Source organism: Homo sapiens, chromosome X, assembly GCF_000001405.40.
Source record: "Homo sapiens chromosome X, GRCh38.p14 Primary Assembly".
NCBI lineage: Eukaryota > Metazoa > Chordata > Mammalia > Primates > Hominidae > Homo > Homo sapiens.
This window is the reverse complement of record NC_000023.11, coordinates 6,220,917-6,230,682: the sequence shown is the minus strand read 5'-3', so window position 1 is coordinate 6,230,682 and position 9,766 is coordinate 6,220,917. Positions and strand designations below refer to the sequence as shown.

At 44.2% G+C, this 9,766-nt stretch overlaps 1 protein-coding gene and 1 long non-coding RNA gene across 16 annotated transcripts in view; one reads left to right on the top strand and one right to left on the bottom strand.

The window, feature by feature from the left end:
• LOC105373156 (uncharacterized) lies at window positions 392-4,325 on the bottom strand. The gene has a single exon (NR_136577.1). It is a non-coding gene; the product is annotated as an uncharacterized LOC105373156 (long non-coding RNA).
• The window catches only part of NLGN4X (neuroligin 4 X-linked), a 338,826-nt gene continuing 330,875 nt past the window's right edge, over window positions 1,816-9,766 (top strand). For 3 of the 15 annotated variants that reach the window (NM_181332.3, XM_005274564.4, NM_001282145.2), the window contains exon 1: window positions 1,816-2,142. The gene's annotated coding sequence lies outside the window, so the exon portion shown is untranslated. Of the gene's footprint in view, window positions 2,143-2,218; window positions 2,676-2,835; window positions 2,995-3,595; window positions 3,818-3,978; window positions 4,429-9,766 lie in introns of those variants that run through there. The other 12 variants (NM_001282146.2, XM_005274565.3, NM_001441322.1 and 9 more) reach the window with 9 other exon arrangements.

The following is a 9,766-nucleotide window of genomic DNA, read 5'->3' as shown; positions in this document are numbered from 1 at the left end:
GTATGCTTTCTCAAAAATAAATGGATGAGTTTCACTCACAGATGCATGTCAGTGCTTAGGACTGCACCAGTGCTAAAAAAAAAACAACCCTGAATTTATGAATAAGTCAATGAATTAATACATTCTTGGCAAAACCCATGACTTTCTGGCCTACTATAAATTACTGTGTTCAAGGTGAGATTCTGCTTTAGTTTAGGATATAGATATCTATATATATGTCCATATATCTGCAGCTATATATCCATATCCATGTATATCACTGATTTGGGGAATAAGCTATACTTATTAACAATATTACTATGTTAATGGGTCTTCAATATCTATACAATAACGGAAAAAGTACATGCATATTTCTAAATATCTATCCAATAATTGGAACACACACGTATGTATGGATGGATATATTTTTTTTTATTATTGGGTATAGATATCTATTAATAGATAAGTGTATATTTATGTACCTATCTTGTTGGTAAAAGGTGCTTTTATACATATTATTTCATTTAGTCTCCACAAGAAATCCACAGGAAAGGTAATTTTAATCTCAGTTTAACAGATTCACAGAACATAACTGACTTTACAACAAGGCAAAGTTTGTGAGGATAGAGTCTTAACATGAAACCAGGTCCCCAAATTGGTGTCTATCACCTTCCCCATTATTGGTCAGGCTGCCCAAATATCCTTCACATCACCATGGCAGGCTTCATGCTTTGGTTTACTGCCTAAAGCCGAAGCAATTAGGAGGATATCCTATGTGTTGCGGACACTATCTTTTTCCTTCCATAAATGAATTAATGGGCCATGAAATAATTTTAAGAAAAGCTAACTTTTCTGGCCAAGCAGAAGAATAAAAGTAATCACCATGTAATATTGTTGTGAAGACTACCTGGCCCCACACATTAACTCAGCTAATCATTACAGTATTACACGGTGATTATCTGTTCCATTTTACAGATACAGAAATGGAGGCAAACGATTAAAATACACACCTAAGGTCACATGCATCTTGAACCCAAGCAATCTCATTTTAAAATCCGTGTTCATTGTCACAACACTCTATTATGCCCTCTGATCTTTGCATTGCCAATTTAAATCCAACTTTCTCCAACTCAACTTTAAGTACAGGGGTCATACCCCCGTCCTCGCCCCCCGCAACTTGAAACTCCCTGGGAAAGATAACCTCCTGGACCCTGGAAATGAAGAGGCGTATTTAAAAACAAATGCCTCATCCTGGGCACAATTCCAACATTTTATCAAAATCATGAAAGTATAAGAATAGAAGTAAACAAAAAGCTTTCATCGATCCCCTCTCAACCATACCCTGAGCATAAAACAGGTCCTGTACTTTACAGAACTGTATTCCAAATTTTGCTGCTCTTAAAAATTTTTTTTATATCATTGCTTCCCAAATGAATTACAATAACGCAGACATAGAGACTGCTGGAGATCGTGACCTTAAACAGTTAAAGATGTTTGCATATACTGCAGCATGTTTGGTGTGGAGGGTATCTAGAGAGTCCTAAAAAAGCAAAGAGGAAGAAGGTTTGCTGTACGCGTCTGGTGCGGTGGCACCGTTTGCCATGCCCACCTGCTCTATCTCCCGAGTACCCGGGATCTCTCCGTTACAGCTGGTTTGCATTGGGATTAGCAGCTCTTTGCATGAGGTTGTAGCTGTGGATGTGGTTTCTGTAGTGATGGGGCCGACTCCGGAGATCTATTGGCTGCTGGCTTTGTAAATTTCATTCAGTTTGGTCCAATGGCAGAGGGAGAGCCCCGGAGACAGCAGGACCTCTCTCCTCAATCTCTCTTTTTCTTGCAGAACCGTCTCTCTCCCTTCTCTGTCTCTTAGCACAGAGCTCTTATTCAGCCACTAGCTTGGCCCTTCCTGCTTCAATTGTAATGCTTGTTCTGCCCGTCCACAGACTATTGGCGGCAGAAACAACGAATTTCCTCCAAACTAGGCGGTGTTGGTGGCTCTTGCATTCCTCTGGATGAGGAAATCTAGTTGGGGGGTTCCAGAAGGGGAAGGCTCCTGGGCTTTCAATACATCCTCCTGAATCATACCTCGTTTCGGGTTCCCTAGAAAAATCTGGACGTGTAAAAAGAACTCTTAACGGCCGATGCAGCTCTTCCAAAGCTAAGGTAGGTGCAGTTTTAAGACCTGTCTCTGGGACATTATTCTCATTTTAAAAAGCCGTTTAAACATTTTGACTTGCAGCAAAGGATGGAAAGCCTCACTGCAGATACTTGAGCTTCACTTCATCTGATCTTTATTTTTTCCTTTTATGATTATTAATATTATTTTTGGAAAATTTGGACAGGACTTTCTCCCATCTGTCTCGCTGCATTTCTTAGGTGTGGGTGGGAGTGTAGACCTTCATACGGTTTTTACATGCAACCTCTCCACAGAAATATTTGGTTTTATTTTCACTTAAAGAGAAAAATCCAGACCACCGTTGTTTGGAAGCGTTTTGCTGCAATCAGCTATTTGAACGGCTCTGGGGCCGTGTGTGATGTGTTTACAAAGTAGCGCTGCCTTCCACACAAATAAACAGAAGACTGTGGCGGGGAGAGGAGGAAAAAAATATATATGTATCTGCAGTACAGGGAGAAGAAGGAGAGAAGCGGCCAGGGCTGGAGATGGTGAAGGCAGGAAGACTTCTGCAAACTGTGAGGCATGGGAGGCTTTTCTTTTCTTTTTCTCTCCCCCCCCACCCCCCCCCCTTATTCTTTAAGAAAACTGTCAGCTACCACCGCCTGGGGTGCTTTTTTGAGGGGTTGGGGGGGTGCTGTTAACCAGAAAGAAAAAGGGAAAACCGGCTTGGTTGGGGTCGCATTTAAGCGATTTTTTTTCCCTCCTTCATCTCCGGGCCTCGGATAAGATGACGGCTTGGGTGATGCACGAAATAACGCACGTGATTGATTAGACCTGGCTTGGCTTGGCTAGGGAACGATCCAGGCGCGCTGGAGACCCCGCGTGAAGATGAAATGACGGTAGCTCCGGGCTGCTTCTGTAAACCGGGGAGCGGGCTCCATGCACCCCTTTCCCGTGTGTGTGGGTTTCGAGGCGGGTGGGAAGGGTGAGGCAAGCCGCAGAAGGAGGGTAGAGCTGGTGGTTTTGCTTCTTTCGGAGCCTTTGAGTGTAGTCTGAACCTTTGAGGGGGGCGCGGGGGGGCTTGCAGCTGCCGCCCTGGGAACCATCTCTGAACTGCCCGCTTTTCCGAAGGAGCGGAAAAGTTGGAAGCTGCGAGGACAGACTACCGGAGCCCTGGTCTGGGTCTCGGGGGATCTGGAGCCCTAGTCGGTGCCCACTGAGAACACCCCTTCTCGGAGCGAGGGTGTCGGGGGGAGTGTTAAGCCTGCGGGGCGCACGGTCCGCCAGTCCCCGAGGTGGGGACGGGGGAGGAGGCTGAGGAGTCGGTTCCAATAGGCGCACCACCTCTACAGCCCTGGAAAACGCAACCGCCACCCCCTCTTCCCTTCCATCCCATCCCAAGCCTCTCTGCTGTCCCGGGCCGATTTCATCTCGTCTCTTCCCCCGCCTCCCCGCTTCCCCGCCTCCCAATTCCCGCGCGGCTCGGCTCAGCCCCTTCCCACTCCAGTGGGCAGAACTGATGGAGAAGATCCGCCAAGCGCGCAGCCGGCGGCGGAGGAGACAGTGCGGGGTGGGCGAGGGGCTTCGAGACCACGCAGAGAGAGAGTGAACTTCAGTCCTGACCCCTCCCCAAGGCCGCGGCTGGGGCGCCCACAGCCCGCGCTGGCACCCGCGTGGCCTGACCTGCGGAAGCGCGAGCGGGGATGAGGTAGGGAGAGGGAGGTAGGTGCCGCTCGGCTGCAGATGATGCGTGGGTGGGGGGCTTGCTGTGGGAGGAGAGGCCCAGGTCCCGGCCTGCGCCCTCCACTCCGCGGCTGCTCCCTCCGCCTCTGGTTTTCCAAGAGGCCGGTCGCTACCCCGGAGGACACTCTCATCCTTCAGTCAGTCTCCTGGACACCCCTTCCTCCTCCTGTCCCTCAACCTGACCTGGCTCTTTCGCCCCTCCGAGAACCGGTAGGCTGGGGTCCCTCGGCGGGGTTCTCCTGGGCCGCACCCGAAGCTTTGCGCCCCCGGTATCCGGGCCCAGTGCTCCGTGCAACCCTGGGCCCGAGCGCACGATTCCGGCGCCTGCTCGCCGCCAGACACAGCGCCCTTTCTTCCCGGAGCGGCGGGGGCGGGAGCAGGGGGGTCAGGCCAACCCTTGCACCCCCGAGGCCTGGCCCGGGCCACCCTGGGAACGGATGTTCTGCATGGAGAGCGAGGGGCAGCCGGAGGACGTCCTCCGCATCATACCCCTCCCCTTCCCCAGAAGGCTTTTTTTTTTTCCGGACTGCGGGTTTCTTTTTCTCTGCCTTCTTCCTCTGAACCTACGGCAGGTGTCAGCCTCTTTTTGTGTATGTGCTGCTGCTATCTCGGGGATGGCGGGGGAGGGGGTGCAGGAGGCAGCGTGAAGGGGTCCTAGGAGGTTCCGGCGGGGTTTTGGCCCCTGCGGTGCGCCGGGGCTTGCAACTCGCCCGGGTGCTGGGCGCGCGCGTCACGAATTCAGCCTAGGGCTTGGGCGAGTCTGCGGGGAGTGAGGACAGAGGATCCCGATCTGTCATTTGGACCCAACTTAAGAAATTTGGGGTGGGGGTTGGGTGGGGGTTTTGGAACTAAGCAGGTGATGTTCTTGCGAGCTGGATCCACAAGGTGGTAGTATGGCTTCTTTTTATTTTTATTTTATTTTATTTCTATTTGGTCATTTTTTTTGGGGGGGGCGGTGGTTTGTTGTTGTTGTTGTTGCTCTTATCTTATGCTTTTTGAAGGCATCCGTTGCCCGTAGGGTTTACATCGGAGCGCGTTGCATTATATTTTCTTGAAAGGGGGTGGTGTGCGTGAGCTCCCATCTCAGAATCAGCCCTTCCGGTGATGTGAGGAAGGCAAAAGCAAAAAAAAAAAAAAAAAAAAAAAAAAAAAAAAGAAAAAAAGAAAGAAAAAAAAGGAAAAGAAAAAGTTTAGGGAGACCTCGTTATCCTGACGAAGCAGAATTGCCAGTTTGTGTGGGCGTTCTGCGGGCAACATAGAAGTGCATGCTTAAGAAATCCGGGGTAGCTTCCTTCTCCAGCTAGAAATTAAATGGCCAGGGTGCAAACACCTGACTTTGATGAGAACAAAGCGGCAGAAACTGCAAGAGACCTGCATGGTTTGAATGGACGCACTGAGCCTTTTCCTAGGGGATGGCAGAGCGGGGTGAAATCAGATAGCAAAGAAATCTGCCGTTTTGTGGGGGCAGATTTGGAGAGTGGAGAATTATTTCATACCTTTAGTTGGCTGTGGGGAAGATGTTAGCAGTAATCCATTAAATCCTCAGCATAGATTTTCCTGTGGAAATGAGCAAAATGTTAAGTGGGGGAGGGATGGCTAATGGCACATGGTTGCATTAATCCCTGTATTTCCAGAAAAAAATATGGAATTTCTGTGTATCCTAAAATTAAGAATACAGGAATTTCATGGAGAACTCTGCAAGCATGTATTTTCTCAGATTAGAAATTCAGTATTTTATTACTCAATGAAATGTAGAATGCGTGTGTGTGTATGTGTGTATACAGACATACACACACGCATTCTACATTTCTACATATATGTGTGTGTGTGTGTATATATATATATATATATATATATATATATATATGGCCATTTTAAAGAGTATTTTCTTTGACATGTAAGAACATAATCAGGGCCAGTTGTAGCAAGTGGAAAATTACTTCATCAGTTTTAAGTCAGTAGATTAAAATGGAAGGCTTCATTTTTTTTTGAAATCAGAATAATAATTGCATTTTCATAATAATGCCTGTGCGTGGATGCAGTTTTAAAGATGCTTTGATGTTTTCTTCTCCAGTGGAAGAATTGCTACTTTTCTTTGCGTTTTATTTAAATAAACTAATGCCGAGTATACAGTTGGCCCTCAAACCAGTAACCTAGCTGATTTTTACCCAAACCTGAGAATGTAACAGATACTTGATAAGGGACTGGTGGCTGCATAAGGTAGATAATGAAGTTATCTTGATGCTGTGAAATTTACAAGCAGACTTGAAAGAATTTGAAAGTTCATAGTTGTTGGCCTGGAATGTAGCCTAATGGTAAATATATAGATTTTTTAAAATTTGTGAACTTGGCTATTTCATTGTTTTGTGTGTAGTAATTTGTGGAAAGCTTATAGTCTCTCCACAAAGATGAGAGTGTTGACTGACTCCGCAACAGAGACTTGCTTTTGGAAGTGCAGGGGTCTCTTTAAAAGCCATTTGGAATACTGTGCTTTTATTTCTAGACCACAACCAAAAGGTTCTCAAAAAACTAAACATTCAAGTGCACGAGGGAATGACCTCCGTTTAACATTCTTTCTTTTTAATTGGTACGCCACATTTCAAACCTTTTGTAATACTGTTGAATATTGCCAATAATGCAACTTGTTGAGCGAATGCATTGCATTCAAATGAAGTAGCAATATACAAATATTTTAAGTCCTTTAGTATCCTCCTTCTAAAGATAGGCTTATCTGGTTAAAATATACTTATATTCCAAATAAGGTGAGAGTTGGTCTTAAGATGTGAATGTCAAGTGTAAGAGACACGATTTTAGTTTGTAAACCAGAATGTATTCTTTCTGTACTGCTTTCTGCCTTTTAACAATATGTATTCTATTCCCAAATGGGGAAATATGTTCAGTTTAGTTTAAATCTGTTGCTCTTTTTGTGTGTGTTTTTGTCTGAGTACTGTACTTTTTCAGAGGAGAGACTTCGTCTCCTATTTAATTATGTGAATGGATATTCAGACAGATTTGAATAGCCACCACTGATTTCTTAAACTCCTGAGCTACCAGTTTTAAATCAAAGATACATCTTTTGCACAGTCAATTAGAGGAAGTGAGAATCAAAATTGAAGCCCAGGCTGCTGAGGCAATTAGGTCATCTGCTGTGCTCTCTACTACCATTCACTCAACGAATATTTTCCAGTTCTGTCATTTTTCTCTAAACAACCTACATTTGGACTTTGAAAGGCTCCACTGTTCTTTGTTAAGTGAACGGCAGTGTAGGAAGCCCTTCCTCATTTTTCTTGGAGCACAGTAGCACACATGAACAAGAAAAAAAAGAAGGTGATAGCTCCTAGCAGTTTGTCATTGTGCCATTTATAGGCTTTGAATAAATGTATAGATGAAAAGGCTTTCCCTCTGCAGGTGGTTACATTAAACAAAAAATAAGTAAATAAAAGCCTCATAAAATCATTACGGGAGTGGAAGGTTGGTGGTGGAAAACAGCCCATCTACCTCGGGCTGAGATTTCAAACTTTAGACATCTCGTGTTCAGTTCACGTGTCCCAGGTGTGTGCGGAACACCTCCATACACCACATCTTCCCAAGGCACTCTCATCTTCCCAGAAATGGTACCTGAAGGAGAACAGACCTAACCCCAACAATACTAAAATACGTATATAAAAAACTATATATAGTAAGATATGTATCCTACTATATAATATATATATGGTAATACATATTATAGTAAGGTCTGCATCATGTATATAAAAATACACTATATATCTTATTATTATATATATAGTGAGATGAGGTGTATTAATCCATTCTCAGGCTGCTAAAAAAGACATACCCAAGACTGGGTAATTTGTAAAGGAAAGAGGTTTAAATGACTCACAGTTCAGCATGGCTGGAGAGGCCTCAGGAAACTTACAATCATGGTGGAAGGGGAAGCAAATACTTCCTTCTTCACATGATGGCAGGAAGGAGAGGAATGAGAACCGAGTGAAGGGGGAAACCCCTTATAAAATCAACAGATCTTGTGAGAACTTACTCACTATCATAAGAATAGCATGGGGCAAACTGCCCCCATGATTCAATTACTTCCCACCACATCCCTCCACGACACGTGGGGATTATGGGAGCTACAATCCAAGATGAGGTTTGGTGGGGACAAAGCCAAACCATATCATGAGGTTTTATTGAATTTATTTGAGACAGGAAAAGAGTAATCCTCCATAATTTAGAAAGGAGATGAAGTACAATGAACATTTAGGTCCTCATTAGTTGAGGAATACATTTCAAAGAGAGAAATGTTAATTTCAGTATAGTGCTAATGAAACGATCTAGGCTTTCACTGCTCTCTGGAAATGTGGATAAATGGCCCAGAATTTTGTTTGGGTTGTTTTATTTAAAATGTATATTATATAAAGAAATCATGGTTTGTCAAAGTAACAGAGTGCTATTTTTGGCTTACAACAGGACTTTCTTAGCTCCACCTGTTAATATCGGTGATCATTTTGGTTTTAAGAGGCTGGTACCTGATTGGATGATGAAAACTTGGATCTCAAAGCCATCACCCCAGACATGTGATTTTATTAACATCTGTGGGCATCTGTCCGGCTCCCACATCAACCCTTCATCCAGGCTCATTTTCTGTTTGTTTTTGTTTGGTTGTTTGTATGCTTTGGTTGGGGAGAGGGGACACGGATTTTGCTAAGGGCACCTTTTTCAGGAGTGAAACTTAGCCTGTCATATAAGCTGAAAAGGAACTTGGGTTGTTTCAAGTTGCATTACTTGGTAAGTTTTTGGATCCTTTAAAAAAGAAAGGACTGAGGTTACTAAAAGTGTTATTGGCACTGATAAAAGAGCTATGGTGAATTGTGGTTTGTTTTTGTAAAGTGCAGAAAAGGCCTCTTTGGTTCTGTGATGATGGCTGTGGTGAAGTTGCATGCGGTGCCATTTTCCATGTTTAGTATTTCAACACCACCAATATGTGGCTCTGGAGTATGGGACGGGCAAGTCCAAGAACTCAGTGAGGCATGCCGTGTGACTCCAATGGTCAGAGCTGTTCAGCATGGAACTGTGGTCTCAAAAGCATGGGGGATGGGGGCAGAAGAAGCTCGCTGCAACTGAGTGCCTTTAACTTATTCCACTCTTCAGTACTCTCTGTGACTATAACTCTGTGAATGGGTTAGGTGGGGAAACTCACAAAAGTAAATGCATGTTTTCACAAACAAAATATGTCATTGTTAACTGTTTTCCTAAGTGAGACAATATGCCCTCATGCCCTGAAGCTACATGGTAAGAATGGCAGTGTGTATGAGCGGGTGTATACACATACATGTATGCATATGCTAACACATTAACTAGGAACTAGTCTTTGCTGAAAATGTTTTTCTCAGCCATTGCAACACATTAGATAAAAGCAAATATATATATATATATATATATATATATATATATATATAATATAAGAAGGAAAAATGTGGTTTTCCATTATTTTCTTTTTCTTATCCTCATCATTCACCAAATCTATATTAAACAACTCATAACATCTGGCCTGGGTAATAGAGTGAGACCCCAACTCCACAAAGAAACAAAAATTAAAAACAAATTAGCCGGGCCTGATGGCAAGTACCTGTGGTTCCAGCTGAGGTGGGAGGATCACTTGAGCCCAGGAGTTCAGGGCTGCAGTGAGCTATGATTACGCCAGTGTACTCCAGCCTGGGAGACAGAGCAAGACCCTATCTCTAAAAATATAAATAAATAAATAAATAAATAATAAATAAAAATAGAAAATGTACAATGAAAGTTATAAAGTTGGCCAGGCGTGGTGGCTCACGCCTGTAATCCCAGCACTTTGGGAGGCTGAGGTGGGCGAATCACCTGAGGTCAGTAGTTCAAGACTAGCCTGGCCAACATGGCGAAATCCTGTCTCTACTA